Source organism: Homo sapiens, chromosome 19, assembly GCF_000001405.40.
Source record: "Homo sapiens chromosome 19, GRCh38.p14 Primary Assembly".
NCBI classification, from domain to species: Eukaryota; Metazoa; Chordata; class Mammalia; order Primates; family Hominidae; genus Homo; species Homo sapiens.
The window spans coordinates 22,407,385-22,425,509 of NC_000019.10; the positions used below are offsets into that span (position 1 = coordinate 22,407,385).

Sequence of the window (18,125 nt, forward strand, 5' to 3'; positions counted from 1 at the left end):
CTCCTGAATTCACTGATTTTTTTTTTTTGGAGGGTTTTTCATTTCTCGGCTGGGCACGGTGGCTCACGCCTGTAATCCCAGCACTTTGGGAGGCCAAGGCGGGTGAATCACAAGGTCAGGAGTTCAAGACCAGCCTGGCCAACATGGTGAAACACTATCTCTACTAAAAATCCAAAATTTAGCTGGGTGTGGTGGCTCACGCCTGCAGTCTCAGCTACTCAGGAGGCTGAGGCAGAAGAATTGCTTGAACCCGGGAGGCGGAGGTTGCAGTGAGCCGAGATAATGCCACTATACTCCAACCTGGATGACAGAGTGAGACTCTGTCTCAAAAAAATAAAAATAAAAGCAAAAACAAAACAAAACTGGCAAACCAAATCCAGCAGCACATCAAAAAACATCCACCAGGTCGGGCGCGGTAGCTCACGCCTGTAATCCGCCACTTTGGGAGGCCGAGGCGGGCAGATCACGTGAGAACAGGAGTTCGAGACCAGCCTGACCAACATGGAGAAACCCCGTCTCTACTAAAAGTACAAAAAATTAGCCAGGCGTGGTGGTGCATGCCTATAATCCCAGCTACTAGAGAGGCTGAGGCAGGAGAATCACTTGAACCCAGGAGGCAGAGGTTGCAGTGAGCCGAGATCACGCCACTGCACTGGACAACAAGTGCGAAACTCTGTCTCAAAACAAAACAAAACAAAAAAACTGATCCACAACAATCAAGTCGGCTTCATCCCTGGGATGCAGGGCTGGTTCAACATATGCAAATCAATAAACGTAATTCATGACATAAACAGAACTAAAGACAAAAACCACATGATTATCTCAATAGATGCAGAAAAGGCCTTTGATAAAATTCAACTTTCTTTCATGTTAAGAACTCTCAATAAACCAGGTGTTGATGGAACATATCTCAAAATAGTAAGTGTGTTTATGACAAACCCACAGTCAATGTCATATTGAATGGGAAAATGCTGGAAGCATTCTCTGAAAACCAGTACAAGACAAGGATGCCCTTTCTCACCATTCTTATTGAACATAGTATTGAAAGTTATGGCCAGGGCAATCAGGTAAGGGAAAGAAATTAAGAGTATTCAAATAAAAAAACAGGAAGTCAAATTGTCTCTGTTTGCAGATGACATTATTCTATATTTAGAAAATTCTGTCATCTCAGCCCAAAAACTCCGTAAGCTGATAAGTGACTTCAGCAAAGTCTCAGGATACAAAATCAATGTGCAAAAATCACATGCATTCCTATAAGCCAACAACAGACCATCAGAGAGCCAAATCGTAAATAAACATCACAATTGCTACAAAAAGTAAAATATATAAAAATACAGCTAACAGGGAATATGAAGGACCTCTTCAAGGAAAACTACAAACCACTCCTCAAGGAAGTAAGAGAGCACACAATCAAATGGAAAAACATCCCATCCTTATGGATAGAAGGAATCAACATCATGAAAATGGCCATACTGCCCAAAGTAATTTATGGACTCAATGTTATTCCCATCAAACTACCATTAACATTCTTCACAGAATTAGAAAAAACAATGACTTTAAATTTCATATGGAACCAAAAAAGAGCCCATATAGCCAAGACAATCCTAAGCAAAAAGAACAAAGATAGAGGCATCACACTACCTGACTTCAAGCTATACTACAAGACTACAATAACCAAAACAACATGGTACTGGTCCAAAAACAGACATACAGACCAATGGAGCAGAAAAGAGACCTCAGAAATAACACCACACATCTACAACCATCTGATATTCAACAAACGTGACAAAAACAAGCAATGGGGAAAGGATTTTCTGTTCAATAAATGGTCCTGAGAAAACCGGCTAGCCATATGCAGAAAACTGAAACTGGACCTCTTCCTTACATCTTATACAAAAATTTACTCAAGATGGATTAAAGACATAAATGTAAAGCCCAAAACCAGAAAAACCCTAGAAGAAAACCTAGGCAATACCACTCAGGACATAGGCATGGGCAAAGACTTCATGACGAAAACGCCAAAAGCAATTGCAACAAAAGCCAAAATTGAAGAATAAGATGTAATTAAACTAAAGAGATTCTACACAGAAAAAGAAACTATCATGAGAGTGAACCAGCAACCTACAGAATAGGAGAAAATTTTTGCAATCTACCCATCTCACAAAGGTCTAATATCCAGAATTTACAAGAAACTTTAAAAAATTTACAAGAAAAAAACAAACAATTCCATCAAAAACTGGGCAAAAGCTGGAAGTGGTGGCTCACACCTGTCATCCCACCACTTTCGGAGGCCGAGATGGGTAGATCATTTAAGGCCAGGAGTTCTAGACCAGCCTGGCCAATATGGTGAGACCCCGCCTCTACTAAAAATACAATAATTAGCTGGGCATGGTAGTGGATGTCTGTAGTCCCAGCTACTCAGGAGGCTGAGGCAGAAGAATGGCTTGAACCCAGGAGGTAGAGGTTGCAGTGAGCAGAGATTGCGCCACTGCACTCCAGCCTGGGAGACAGAACGAGACTCTATCTCACAAAAAAAAAAAAAAAAAAAAAAAAGTGGGCAAAAGATGAACAAACACTTCTAAGAAGGCATTTATGCAGCCAACAAATATATGAAAAGATGCTCAATACCACTGATCATTAGAGAAATACAAATCAAAACCACAATGAGATACCATCTCACACCAGTCAGAATGGTAATTATTAAAAAGTCAGAAACAATAGATGCTGGTGAGGCTGTGAAGAAACAGAAACACTTTTACACTGTTAGTGAGAATGTATTAGTTCAACCATCGTGGAAGACAGTGTGGTGATTCCTCAAGGATCTAGAACCAGAAATATCATTTGACCCAGCAATCCCATTACTGGGTATATACTCAAAGAAATATAAATCATTCTACTATAAAGACACATGCACACGTATGTTTACTGTAGCACTAATTACAATGGCAAAGACATGGAACCAACCCAAATGCCCATCAATGACAGACTTGACAAATAAAATATGGTACATACACACCATGGAATACTATGCAGCCATACAAAGAAATGAGATCACGTCCTTTGCAGGAACATGGATTAAGCTGGAAGTCATCATCCTCAGCAAACTAACACAGGGATAGAAAACCAAAAACCGCATGTTCTCATTCATAAGTGGTAGTTGAACAATGAGAACACATGGACACAGGGAGGGGAATAACACAAACCAGGGCCTGTTGTGAAGTGGGGGCAAGGGGAGGGCACCTAGAAGGGTCAGTACATGCAGCAAACCACCATGCCACACATATACGTATGTAATAAACCTGCACATTAACTAAGCACTGCCTCTCAAGCTTTAATGAGCTTATAAATCACTTGGTAATGTTGGTCTCACTCTATGTAATGTGATTCTGCAGGTATGGAAAGGGTCCATGAGTGGGTGTTTTAAATAAGTCCCGTCAAGGCTGATGTTGCTCCCCCTAGGCTCATTATTAGCATTAGTTAGAGAGCAGGCACAGCACAGAGTCTCTTACACTTGGCACTCTTGTCACAACACAATTACTTCTGAAACAAATGACAACCAACCTCCATCTTAAAGTATCATAATCTTTGTTGGCTTTTTAAAGTTTACACAGAAAACAGAAAGTAGCAATATCTGACTGAGTCTGCATTTATTTTTATTTTTATTTTTATTTATTTACTTATTGAGTCTCGCTCTGTTGCCCAGGCTAGAGTGCAGTGGCGAGATCTGCACTTACTGCAACCTCTGCCTCCCAGGTTCAAGCTGTTCTTCTGTCTCAGCCTTCCGAGTAGCTGGAACTACAGGCATGCGCCACCATGCCTGGCTAATTTTTTTTGTAGAGCCAGGATCTCACCATGTTGGTCAGGCTGGTCTCAAACTCCTGACCTCAAATGATCTGCCCATCTCAGACTCCCAAAGCGCTGGGATTATAGGTGTGAGCCACCGCACCCAGCCCTTGCTTTTGCATTGTAAGTACTTCAGCCTGCAAATAATTACCTTGGATAATCAAGTTTCTGTCAAAGGAACTTACTCTGTATCTTTTAGTCTTTATCATTCTGTATTGTTAAATTTAATTCTACCTTTGTGTCCAACTTTCATGTGCTCTTAAAATGAGCTTTACTCTGAACAAATCTGTGCGTACTTTTAATGACCGAAAATTAAAAAAATAAATCTTTGCCAAAGCAAAAACAAAGCTATGAATCTCAGGTTACAAATAAAGACAATTCTGAGTCAAAAAGAATGATAAAAGGTTTACTTAGCTGTTAATATAATTTACATATATTTCAAAAAAGCAGAGAAAAATATCTACATATAATCTAAATGCGTTAATAAAACAGAGATAAACAAAATATCCTCCCTTATTTTCACATATGTGAATAAAGCCTCTTATTTTTAATTTGCATTTTCTCCTAAAACAACCAGGTCACTGGACATGTTCTTGAACTCTTGGACATCTGAATTGTGAACTTGAAAGAATGTTTATGGTAAAAACGCAGAAGAGAGAAAGGTGTTATAATAAATTGATGGGTGCACACAAATAAATCAAGTTGTTAGAGACCGATGAAGAGAATGAGATACTGACACAATAATAGTGGGAGACTACAACACCCATGGGCACTAATAGACACATTATTGAGGCAGAAAATTAACAAAGATATTAAGACCTAAACTCAACACCTGACTAAACAGTCTTAATAGATTTCTACAGAACTCTCCATCTAAAAAGAACATAGTATACAGTCTTCTCATCATTACGTGGCACATACTCTAAAATTGACCACACAGTCAGAAGCAAAACAATCCTCAACAAATTTAAAAATTCCAAAATTATATGAACCACACACAGAGGCCACAGCTTGATAAAAAAGTAATTCAATACAAAGAAAATCACTTGAATTATACAAGTACATGGAAATTAAACAACCTGCACTTGAATTACTTTTGGGTAAATAATGAAATTAAGGCAAGAACCAAGAAGTTCTTTGAAAAAAATGAGAACAAAGATACAACATACCTGAATTTTTGCAACACAGCTAAGGCAGTGTTAGGAGAAAAATTTATGGCATGAAATGCTTACATTGAAAAGTTAGACTTCAGTTTAACAACCTGACATCATAAGTAAAAGGCTGAGAGAAGCAAGAGCCAATCAACCCCTAAGCTAGCAGAAGACAAGAAATAACCAAAATCATTTCTGAACGGAAGGAGATTTTCACATGAAAAACTATACAAAAGATCAAGAATTGCAGGAGTAAAATCTTAAAAAAAAAAAAAAAGATAAATTCTCAACAAAATATTGGCAAACCAAATTGGGCAGGACATCAAAAACCTAACCGACTATGATCGAGTAGGGTTTATTTTTGGGATGCAAGGTTAATTCAACATACACGAGGTGGGGCGCAGTGGCTCACACCTGTAATCCCAGCACTTTGGGAGGCCGAGGCGGGAGTATCACGAGGTCAGGAGATCGAGACTATCCTGGCTAACATGGTGAAACCTCGTCTCTACTAAAAATACAAAAAAATTAGCCAGGCGTGGTGGCGGGTGCCTGTAATCCCACCTACTCAGGAGGCTGAGGCAGGAAAATGGAGTGAACCCACGAGGCGGAGCTTGCAGTGAGCCGAGATTGCACCACTGCACTCCAGCCTGGGTGACAGAGCGAGACTCCGTCTCAAAAAAATAAAAAATAAAAATAAAAATAAAAAAAAATAATAATAATGAGTTATCCATCACAAACCCACAGACAACATACTGAATACACATAACCTGGAATCATTTTTCTTTGAAAACTGGGACAAGACAAGGATGCCCCTCCTCTCAACACTCCTATTCAACATAAAACTGGAAGTCCTGGCCAGAGCAATTAGGCAAGATAAAAAAATAAAAGGCATACAAACAGGAAGAGAGGATGTCAAAACCTATTTCTGTTTACAGATGACATAATGCCGTACCTGAAAAACCCTATAATCTCGGCAGAAAAGCTTTTCAAACTGACAACTTCAGTAAAATTTCAGAATACAAAATAAATGTACAAAAATTAGTAGCATCCCTGTAAATCAAAAACATGCACGCCAAAAGCCAAATGAAAAACGGAATCCAATTCACAATCACTACAAAAAGAATAAAATATCTAGGACTATAGCTAACCAGGGAGGTCAAAGATCTTTATGACAACACTGTGAAAACACTGCTTAAGGAAGTCAGAGATGGGCCAGGTGCGGTGGCTCACACCTGTAATCCCAGCACTTTGGGAGGCCGAGACAGGCAGATCACCTGAGGTTGAGAGTTCAAGACCAGCCTGAACAACATGGAGAAACCCCGTCTCTACTAAAAACACAAAATTAGCCAGGGTGGTGGCGCATGCCTGTAATCTCAGCTACTCAGGAGGCTGAGGCAGGAGAATCGCTTGAACCCGGGAGGCAGAGGTTGTGGTGAGCAGAGATGGTGCCATTGCACTCCAACCTGGGCAAAAAGAGCAAAACTCCGTCTCAAAAAAAAAAAAAAAAAAAAAAAGTCAGAGATGACACAAACAAATGGAAAACCATTTTATGCTCATGGATAGAAAAGATCAATATTGGCCAGGCAAAGTGGCTCACACCCATAATCCCAACACTTTGGGAGGCTGAAGCGGCTGGATCACAAGGTCAGGAGTTCAAGACCAGCCTGCCAACATGGTGAAACCCTATCTCTACTAAAAATACAAAAATTAGCCGGGCGTGGTGGCAGGCATCTGTAATCTCAGCTACTCGGGAAGCTGAGGCAGAGAACTGCTTGAACCCGAGAAGGAGAAGTTACAGTGAACCAAAATCATGCCACTGCACTCTAGCCTGGGTGAAGAGCAAGACTCCATCTCAAAAAAAAAAAAAAAAAAAAAAAAGAAAGCAAGCAAGAAAGAAAAGATCAATATTATTAAAATGGTCATACTGTCAAAAAATTAGATTTGCTATTTTTATCAAACTACCAAAAACATTTCTTAACAGAACTAAAAAAACAAAACAAAACAAAAAAACTTTTAAAACTTATATGGTACCAAGAAAGGGCCCAAATAGCCAAGCCAATCATAAGCGAAAAGAACAAAGCTGAAGTCATTACATTACCTGAATTCAAACTATACTACAGGGTACAGTAAACAAAGCAACATGGTACTGGTACAAAAACAAACTCACAGACCAATACAACAGAATAGAGAGCCCATAATAATACCACACACCTACAACCATCTGGTCTTTGGCAAAGCTAACAAGAGGAATCTGGAAAGAATTCCCTATTTAACAAATGATACTGGAATAACTAGCTAGCACTATGTAGAAGATTGAAACTGAACCCCTTCATTACACCATATACAAAAATCAACTAAAGATAAATTAAATATTTAAATGTAAAACTTCAAATTATATATTTAAAAAGATCCATGAAATACCATTCTAGACACAGAAGCCGGCAAAAATTTTAAAATAAAGATACCAGAAGCAATTGCAACAAAAGTACTAATTGACAAATGGAACCTAATTAAGCTAAAAAGCTTCTTCACAGCAAAGGAAACCATCAACACAGTAAACAAACAACACACAGAATAAAAGAAAATATTTGCAAACTATGCTTTTGACAAAGGTCCAATATCCATAATTTATAAGAAACTTAAACAAGTTTACAGAAAAAAGAAAGGCCTCACTAAATGGTAGACAAAAAACATGAAAAAGATTTTTTTTTCAAAGAAGACACACATGTGGCTAACAAGCATATAAAAAATGCTCATCACTAATCATTAGAGAAATTCAAAGAAAAACCATAATGAAATATCATCTCACACCAGTGAGAATGGCTAGTATTAGTCAAAAGGTAACAGATGCTGGCAAGGTTACAGGAATGCTTATACCAGTGGGAGTGTAAATTAGTTCATTATAAAAAGCAGTGTGACGATTCCTCACAGAACTAAAACAGAATTACCTGTTGACCCAGCAACCTCAAAATCGGGCATATACCCAGTAAAATACAAATTATTCTATTATAAAGACATACGCATGTTCATTGCAGTACTATTCACAATAGCAAAGACATGGAATCAACCTAACTGCTTCTCAACTGTATACTGGATAAAGAAAATATGGTATGGCTGGCCATGATGGCTCACACCTGTAATCTCAGCACTTTGGGAGGCCAAGGCAGGTAAACTGCCTGAGCTCAAAAGTTTGAGGCCACCCAGCGGAACATGGCAAGACCCCATCTCTACAAAAAATACAAAAAAAAAAAAAAAATTAGCCAGGTCTGGTGGTGTGTGCCTGCAGTCTCAGCTATGTGGGGGGCTAAAGTAAAAGAAGATTGCTTGAGCCTGGGAGGTTGAGGCTGCAGTGAGCTGAGATCATGCCACTGCACTCCAGTCTGGACAACATAGTGAGAACCTGTCTTCAAAAATAAAATAAAATAAAAGGCTTAGGCCAGGCACAGTGGCTCACGCCTGTAATCCCAGCACTTTGGTAGGCCAAGACAGGTGGATCACAAGGTCAGGAGTTCGAGACCAGCTTGACCAACATGGTGAAACCCCGTTCCTACTTAAAAAAAAAAAAAAAAAAACTACAGACACACACACACACACACACACACACACACACACACACTTAGCTGGGCGTGGTGGCAGGTGCCTGTAGTCCCAGCTACTCGGGAGGCTGAGGCAGGAGAACAGCTTGAACCCGGGAGGCAGAAGTTGCAGTGAGCCAAAACCGTGTCACTGCACTCCAGCCTGGGCAACAGAGCAAGACTCCGTCTCAAAAAAACAAAACAAAACAAAAAAATTTAAGAAAAATAAAGTATGGGCCAGGCGTGGTGGCTCACACCTGTAACCCCAGCACTTTGGGAGGCCAAGGCGGACAGATCATGAGGTCAGGAGATCGAGACCATCTGGGCTAACACGGTGAAACCCCGTCTCTACGAAAAATACAAAAAATTAGCCGGGCGTGGTGGTGGGCATCTGTAGTCCCAGCTACTGGGGAGGCTGAGGCAGGAGAATGGCGTGAACCCGGGAGGCGGAGCTTGCAGTAACCGAGATCGCGCCACTGCACTCCAGCCTGCGTGACAGAGCAAGACTCCGTCTCAACAACAACAACAAAAAAGTATGGTGTCCGGGTGCAGTGGCTCACGCCTGTAATCCCAGCACTTTGGGAGGCTGAGGCGGGTGGATCACCTGAGGTCAGGAGTTCAAGACCCTGTCTCTACTAAAAATATAAAAATTAGCCAGGCCTGGTGGTGCACACCTGTAATCCCAGCTACTTGGAGGCTGAGGCAGAAGAATCGCTTGAACCCAGGAGGCGAAGGTTGCAGTGAGCCAAGATCGTGCCACTGCACTCCAGCCTGGGAGACAAGAGAGAAGCTCCATCTCAAATAAATAAAATATGGTACATAAATTATCATAAAATAGTGTGTGGCCGTTAAAACATGCACACACACACATACACACACACACACACAGATCATGTCCTTTGAAGCAACGTGGATTAAGCTGGAGACCATTACTCTTAGAAAACTAACACAGCAGCAGAAAACCAAATGCATGTTATTTCTAAGTAATAGCTGAGGCTGGGCACAGTGGCTCACGCCTGTAATCCCAACACTTTGGGAAGCCAAGGCAGGCAGATCACCTGAGGTCAGGAGTTCCAGACCAGCCTGACCAACATGGAGAAACCCCATCTCTATTAAAAATACAAAATTAGCCAGGCGTGGTGGCACATGCCTGTAATTCCAGCTACTTGGGAGGCTAAGGCAGAAGAATTACTTGAACCCAGGAAGCGGAGGTTGCGGTGAGCCAAGATCGCGCCATCGCACTCCAGCTTGGGCAATAAGAGCAAAACTCCATCTCAAAAAAAAAAAAAAAAAAAAAAAAAAAATTAAGTAAGAGCTGAATAATAAGAACACATAAAAACAAAGAGGGAACAACAGACACTGAGGCGTAGTTGAGGTTAGAGGACAAAGAGGATCAGAAAAAGTACCTGCTTGGTGCTATGCTTAGTACCTCAGTGACAAAATAATCTGCACACCAAACCCCCATGACACAATTTTAGCTGTATAACAAACCTGCATGTGTACCCCTGAACCAAAAATAAAAGTTAAAAAGAATAAAAATCTATGAGTGGGAAACAGTGCAATGCAGGTGGAAGAACTGGTTTGTGCTACAGATAGCGGCTCAGGTAGAGGTATACTCTGATGGATTTTTGTGTTTATGCAAGCAGATGAGATTATGAACAGGTGGTCCAGAACCCTCAGTTGGTGGGGAAAACAGTTTGCTGTTGCAGATTCAGTGTCTGGGGGTTGGGATATGCCAGGAGACTTGTAGACACTTTTGTAGGTTTTTGCCAGGAAACACTAGAATCAAAAATGCTGTTGTAAAATTTCTCAGCATGGTGCCTAGTCCTGGGAGAGGTCTGGACACATTAATATCTAGTGGGTATGCTCGTGAGTGAGAGGGAATCCTGTGGTTACAGCTGTGGGAAAAGGGGGTCTGCTGTCAGAGTTTCTTTACTCTAAGTTTGGATCCTCTCTCATCCTGGGAGACCTGGAATCACAGGACAATGGGCAGTGTGACAGCCTGTGTACAGGAGAGTAGAGCCTCCCATTCCCAGACACCCAGAGTTTTATTCCAGGCCAGGCCTCTGTGGTATCTTTTTTCTTGTACCAAATCTGTAGAGTTTGCTGAACATCAAGACATTCTCCAACACCAACTCATTGTCTAACATTTGAATTTGAATTCTGACACCACCCAGAGTCAGCACAGACCCTGATTCAGGGCTCATTTTCACAATATTGTCCTAATTGCAGATGCCAGTCACAAACCCCATAGGCCCATCTATGCTTCTGAGCTACTGTTTAAAAATTATGGACTCCTGTAACCTCCCTCAAGTTTCATAATTTGATAGAGCTACTCGCAGAACTCAGCAAAACACTGTAGTTACATTTACCAGCTTATAAAAAATATAACCCCCAAAAGAGTCAAATGTAAGAAATGTATAAGACAAAGAAAAAAAATGGGGAAAGATGAAGCACATAGATAATCCTGGTAAATAGCTGTGATTAATAAAATTCTCTATCCTTTGTGTTCTCCAGAAACAGTTTATGGAAAGAAACATGCTTTCCATTATGACTTAGTTGGTGCTCTTTTTTCTTACCTATCACATAGCCAAACAAAGACTGTGCACATTTTCTTCTTCTTCTAATTTTAAAAAATCAGCTGGCTGGGAGCAGTGGCTCACGCCTGTAATCCCAGAACTTTGAGAGGCTGAGGCAGGTGGATCACCTGAGGTCAGGAGTTCGAGAGCAGCCTGGCCAACGTGGTGAAACCCCGCCTCTACTAAAAATACTAAAAAAATTAGCCAGGCATTTTGGTAGGTGCCTGTAATCCCAGCTTCTTGGGAGGCTGAGGCAGGAGAATCGCTTGAACCCAGGACGCAGAGGTTGCAGTGAGTGATCGCACCACTGCACCGCAGCCTGGGTGACAGAGCAAGACTCTGCCTCAAAAAAAAGCTGAATTTTTCTTCAGTGGTCAAAATAAAATACTTTTTAATCAAACTTCACTTAAGTTTATCTCCGCCCCATAGGCTCCTTAACATTCAGCTACACTCAATCTGAGTCGAAATACAACCGCATTTTATGTCCTTCCTAAGGACATGCTGAGTTCGAGGTAAAACATTAATCTAGAATCTAACTTTTTCACCCTCCATTTGCCATTTCCCTCCCACTTTCGTTCTAATCTTGTTTGTTCCTTCCTTGTCTGCCTGAACTTGCAATTTTTAAAGATCTTATAGTAGGCATTTCTTTCTGTTACAATACTCCTTTGGAATTCAATTTTTACATTAATCTAACTTTGGTTTATTTTAAATAGTCTAGAAACTGCTTCAAAACAATAACTTCATCTTCACAAGAATCCTGCCAGTTCTTTTCCTTCTTAACCTTAACTGCATCTCTCTGTGGGGCCCCAGTTTTCCAGGGCTCTGTAGCTTCTCTCACTATAAAGGTTTCTTCCATGGCTGGGGGTGAGCAGGCTGGGACATCTGCGAGAGAGGCTCTTCAGAAAAAAACTAATTGGGCCGTTAATAACCTTCTTTTGTAGGCTCAATATTAATTAGCCTTAGCTTGGAGTCACTAGGCTCATGCTTTGATTTCCATTGTCAGAGTTACTAACTTGGTTTTCAAAATTACGTGTGTGAAAAATTCAGCAACATTACTTAAACACAATGTTCATATAAGGGGATGAAATTATAAGGCGCTTTAATTTTATACCTCAATAAGAAAAGCAAAAGTATCAATTCCTTTCAGACAATACATGTCTTATTATTTCCATTAAAAATCATGTAGTAAACAATTAGTCATATGGGACCATTTCTAGGAGGTACCAAGTTTTATCTCATAAAATTAAGCATGAAACTCAGAAGTCAAGATAACAGGATACAGAACAGAGATATTCACTGTCACAAATTTACCCTGCAATAAAATGAAGTGATATTAGATGTGTAGGCTGGGCACGGTGGCTCAGCCTGTAGTCCCAGCACTTTGGGAGAACGAGGCAGGCAGATCACCAGGTCAGGAGTTCGAGACCAACCAGGCCAACATGGTGAAACCCTGTCTCCACTAAAAATACCAAAAAAAAAAATTAGCTGGGTGTGGTGGTGCATGCCTGTAGTCCCAGCTACTCGGGAGGCTGAGGCAAGAGAATCACTTGAACGTGGGAGGCGGAGGTTGCAGTGAACCAAGATCGCGCCACTGCACTCCAGCCTGGGTGACAGAGCTAGACTCCGTCTCAAAAAGAAAAAAAGAAAGAAAACAGATGTGTCTGACTCATGGGTCAATTCAGATCATCCAACCACTTGAGAGATTCTCCCACTCCAACCTGCTCACTTAAGTGCTCAGTGACCACTCTCTTAGGAGACAGTGCACTATGCTCAAGTGAGTGCCCCAAGTGTATTTTACTTTGCAAGTTTTTGTACTATCTCACTGAAGTCAGGTTTTTTTTCTTTCTTTTGTCTTTTGGGATACTATTTTTTCTTTCACAAATCTTAGAGCATTTAGGGGGCAGAAATTATTTCTGTTTTCCCCTCAATATCAGCATGTGATTGGTGGACCAGCAATCTGTCTCCAAGAAATGGAAGCTGGGTTGGGTGAAGACAATTGTAATGTCTCAAGGGGTTAGCTTTTCAAAGGAAGAGTACACCAAGAGATTCCATCTTTTCCCCAGGGTATCCACTGGGGAGGCTGCACTCCCTACCTCAGGTTGTCCTATGAAAGAAAACGACTTAGGAGCTGATATTCACTAGATACTCTAGCAGACATAGCCACAGCAGTTATCTTGGTTTATTCAGAGACAGTACTAAAACCCAGGAACAAGAAAAAACGACAGGGTTGCTGAGGACAAATCACTCCATAACGTTTGCAAAATAAAAACATCTTGACACTAAAACATTATCATAAGACCTTTGTGCCTAGGGAAGACAAAAGAAAAAGAGGCACAGAGACTTTTTACAATTCACTATCAGGGGATTATTCTTTGCTTTCTTCTCATGGGAAATACTTACAAACAGAAAACATATCTTTTTCTTTTTCTTTTTTTCAATTTTAAATAGTTTTATTTAAGACATTGCATTTTCCACTTACAATACAGTGTTTATAAAGTGCAATGCTATTTCCTTCCCCTGTGCATATGTTCCATATTCAAATACTGAGAATGCCCAGTAACTTACTATAGCAGCTTAACTTTTTAAACCTCCCACAGAATTTGCTACAAATTTAGGTCCTTCAAATGAGAAAACATCTTTTTCAATATGCCATCTAATGCTTTGTCAAAAAATGATTAATTAAAATACGGTATATAAAAGGTACACTAAAAAACAAATAATAAATAATGTAAATTAGGGAGAGGAAGTTGGCATTTGAGATTTTCAGAAGAAACTGAAAATTCAGTATTTTACTGCAAGCCAGAGTTAGGCTGCAGAAATGGGGTGTGGGGGGTTGCCTTGAGACCCTGCTTGGGACCCATGTGAAACATGCAAGGGAAAATCAGTCCCACGTGGCGGCAAATAGACTGAGGTGGCTCCAATCCCTGGATTCCTAATTTTAAAAAATCTAACTCAAATGCATTTTTTTAATAGAAATTACTACATTGGGGGAAACAAAATTCAGGCTTAAAAAATGATAAACTGCCAAGTAAGTTCTGATTACACAACCAGGAAATTTCTAGGCTTAAAGTGAAAATTAAGAAACTACGTAAATGTACCTAACCGATTACTGAATTTGGGTATTTTCATCATGCATCTTTCCTTCAAGATCTTTTCATGGCCCACAAACTACAACCCATAGCTGGGAGCTCTACAATTTTTGAACCGCTCCTTGTTTAAATTCTTAAGTACTGTCGCGATAATTCCCATACATTTTTAATAGGCGAAAAGAGGAACTAGGAACCCCATAAACCAAACAAAAGCTCTTTCCATTCATGAACCCTCACCCCCAGCACCCCGAGTCAGGATTCTGCCGACGACCCTCTCGTGGTCCCTGCACAATCTGGGAGAGACGCGGCACTGCGCGTGCAGAGCTGCCCAGAGAGGGCTCCAGCTCAGGGCACAGTCACTGGGCAGGGAAGAGACAGGACGCCCGGAGCCTGGCTGTCAGCGCAGCCGCCATCTTATCGCTGAAGGGGACTGAGGCCGAGCTAGGCAAGGAGAACTAGGGGCACGGATTGTGGAGCTGACAGCGGGGAGGCCTGAGTCCCGCCACAGCCTCTTCCCACCGGTTCCAACCAGCCCCTTCTCCTCTCTAGGGATGTCGGACTCGGCACTCTCACCATTTCTAGGCTTCCAAGGGGTCCTGGCATCTTAGCTGTGGATTCCCAATACCTGCAGGTCACAGGGCCACAGAGGCTGGGCCTCTACGAGCAGAGGACACAGAAGGGCGAAGACGAGACCAGGAACTCCGGCTGCAGCGAGAGACAAAGACCCCGCCACATCCCGGAAGCCGCCCTTTCCGCTCCAACCGCGTGCCTGATTGGACAGTTCCCAGGCCAGCGTCTCTGACTTGTTAACGTTTAAGATCCCTCGCCCTCACGCCCTGAGTGACAGAAGATGTGACCAAATGCTGGGCTGAATGAAGAAAGACTGACAGCCGAAGGTGCCCCCTTTTCAGGCAGGGCTTCCTCCCTGAGGTGAGCTAAGCCCACCCAGAGGGTGTTTGCCTTAAACCTTGTATATAAGGTCTCATGTATTTGTAAATAATATACTATACGGCTGCTCACACATGGAAAGAATAGAATAACAATTATTTTTAAATTTCTGCTTTTTTTTTTTTTTTGAGACGGAATCTCGCTGTGTCGCCCAGGCTGGAGTGCAGTGGCACGACCTCAGCTCACTGCAACCTCCGCCTCTCGGGTTCAAGCGATTCTTCTGCCTCAGCCTCCCGAGTAGCTGAAATTACAGGCGCGCGCCACCACGCCCTGCTAATTTTTGTATTTTTAGTAGAGACGGGGTTTTCACCATGTTGGTCAGGGTGGTCTACGATCTCCTGACCTCATGATCCGCCCGCCTCGGTCTCCCAAAGTGCTGGGATTACAGGCGTGAGCCACCGCACCTAGCCTGAATTTCGGCTTTTATAACCTTCCTGGCTCTGGTCCTTTGAACAGGCAGCCTGAGATAGTTTTTGTTTTGTGTTAAGATGGAGTCTTGCTCTGTCGCCCAGGCTGGAGTGCAATGGCGCGATCTTGGCTCACTGTAACCTCTGCCTCCCGGGTTCCAGTGATTTTCCTGCCTCAGCCTCCCGAGTAGCTGGAATTACAGTCATGCGCCACCATGCCCGGCTAATTTTTTTGTATTTTTATTAGAGACCAGGTTTCACCATGTTGGCCAGGCTGAACTCCCAGGTGATCCGCCCGCTTTGGCCTCGCAAAGTGCTGGGATTACAGGCGTGAGCCACCGCGCCCAACTAACCTGAGGTTTTTAAAAGGACACAATCCTTCTAAGTAAAATGTGAGCCACATGTGAATTTTAAATTTCCTACTAGCCAAACTTTAAAAACAAGGAACACACGGGGCACGGTGGCTCACGCCTGTAATTCCAGCACTTTGGGAGGCGAAAGCGGGCGGATCCCGAGGTCAGGTGTTCGAGATCAGCCTGCCCAACATGGTGAAACTCCGTCTCTACTAAAAATACAAAAATTAGCGTGGTGTGGTGGCGGGCCCCTGTAATCCCAGCTACTCGGGAGGCTGAGGCGGGAGAATGGTTTGAACCTGGGAGGCAGAGGTCACAGCAAGCTGAGACTGTACCACTGTACTCCAGCCTGCACGACAGAGTGAGACTGTCTCAATGAAATAAAAATAAAAATACTTTGGCCGGGCGCGGTGGCTCACACCTGTAGTCCCAGCACTTTGGGAGGCTGAGGCGGATGGATCATGAGGTCAGAACATTGAGACCATCCTGGCCAACATGGTGAAACCGCGTCTCTACTAAAAATACAAAAATTATCTGTGCGTGGTGGTGTGTGCCTGTAATCCCAGCTACTCAGGACGCCGAGGCAGGGGAATCGATTGAACAAGGGAGTTGGAGGTTGCAGTGAGCCAAGATCGCGCCACTGCACTCCAGCCTGGGCGACAGAGTGAGACTCCATCTCAGAAAAAAAATAAAAAATAAAAACGCTTTTTGATACGTGTGGGCTATTTATGATTTTCAACACTGATTAAAAGTACTGTGCCTGAACCAACCTCTTACCTTAAAATCAAATGACTATAGACAGACCTGCTAGGAAGACATTTCATTTCTTTCTTACTTTTTTTTTTTATTTTTTTAGAGTCTGGCTCTGTTGCTCAGACTGGAGTGCAGTGGCGTGATCTCGGCTCACTGCCACCTCAACCTCCTGGCTTGAAGCCATTCTGGTGTCTCAGCATCTCGAGTAGCTGAGAATTCGGGCGTGCGCCACCATGCCCAGCTGATTTTTCTATTTTTATTAGAGATGGGGTTTTGCCATGTTTGCAAGGCTGGTCTCAAACTCCTGAACTCAGGTGATCCGCCCACCTCGGCCTCCCAAAGTGCTGGGATTACAGGCATGAGCCACCCCGCCTGGCCTGTATTTTGATTTTTAAAATAGCAGAGCTGCTGTTGAAGATTTCAAAGTCAGAAGCAGCCGTGGGACAAATCTCAGAAGCACACGTGGAAATCACACACAGTGAATGCATCCCTCACCCTGAACCAATTGTTTTCACCCAAGTCTGCATGTAAAAATCACCTGGGGGGGTCTTTAAAAATCCCCCAAACATAAGTTGCCACACCCCAATTAAATCAGGATTCCTGGAGTGGAAACTGGGCAACAGTTTAGTTTAATTATCTCTAGGTGATGACAGTACAGCCAAGCTCAAATGCCTCTGCTGTAAACCAACACTTTTAGTGACCTAGTTGCAAATTATTTCTCAAATGAATGAAAAAATGTTTGTCCCTAAGTCATGGCCTTTCAGTCTTACCAATATTACCAAATTATTGTTCTTTGCAGAACCAACTTTACTATTGGTTTTGTTCCTGAATCAACCCAGTTCCATACACATTGAATGCACTCTATGTGCAAGGCACTGTGCTAGGTGCCCTGGCATTGGTGATCATTACTGTGGGGGAAGAATTTTCTGGAATAAAGGTTGCATTCCCCCAAAATTAAAAACATGCCATGAACCGAACTGGGGCTAAAATAAAAAGACGTATGGTCTCATTTAAGAGTTAGGGCTTGTTCGGGTGCGGTGGCTCAAGGCTGTAATCCCAGCACTTTGGGAGGCCGAGGCAGGTGGCTCATGAGGTCAGGAAATCGAGACCATCCTGGCTAACACGGCGAACCCCTGTCTCTACTAAAAGTATAAAAAAATTAGCCGGGTGTGGTGGCACGTGCCTGTAGTCCCAGCTACTCAGGAGGCTGAGGCAGGAGAATCGCTTGAACCAGGGAGGTGGAGGCAGCAGTGAGCTGAGATTGCGCCATTGCACTCCAGCCTGGGCAACAAGAGCAAAACTCCGTCTCAAAAAAACACGTTGGAGTGGGGACTGTCAGAAGTTTGCACCTTATGCAAAGGACACAATGACATACCTAGTCCTGACTGGTTTGTCGCACCTTATGTAAATGAAGCACCTCTCCCGAT

The 18,125-nt window shown here is 42.4% G+C and overlaps 1 protein-coding gene across 1 annotated transcript in view; it reads right to left on the bottom strand.

Annotated features, from left to right (window-relative positions):
* The window catches only part of ZNF98 (zinc finger protein 98), a 31,328-nt gene extending 16,366 nt beyond the window's left edge, over positions 1-14,962 (bottom strand). Inside the window, exon 1 of the mRNA NM_001098626.2 lies at positions 14,811-14,962. Coding sequence (NP_001092096.1) covers positions 14,811-14,840 — 30 coding nt within the window. The 5' untranslated portion in view covers positions 14,841-14,962. The remainder of the gene's footprint in view (positions 1-14,810) is intronic.
* Positions 14,963-18,125: the final 3,163 nt, after the last annotated feature.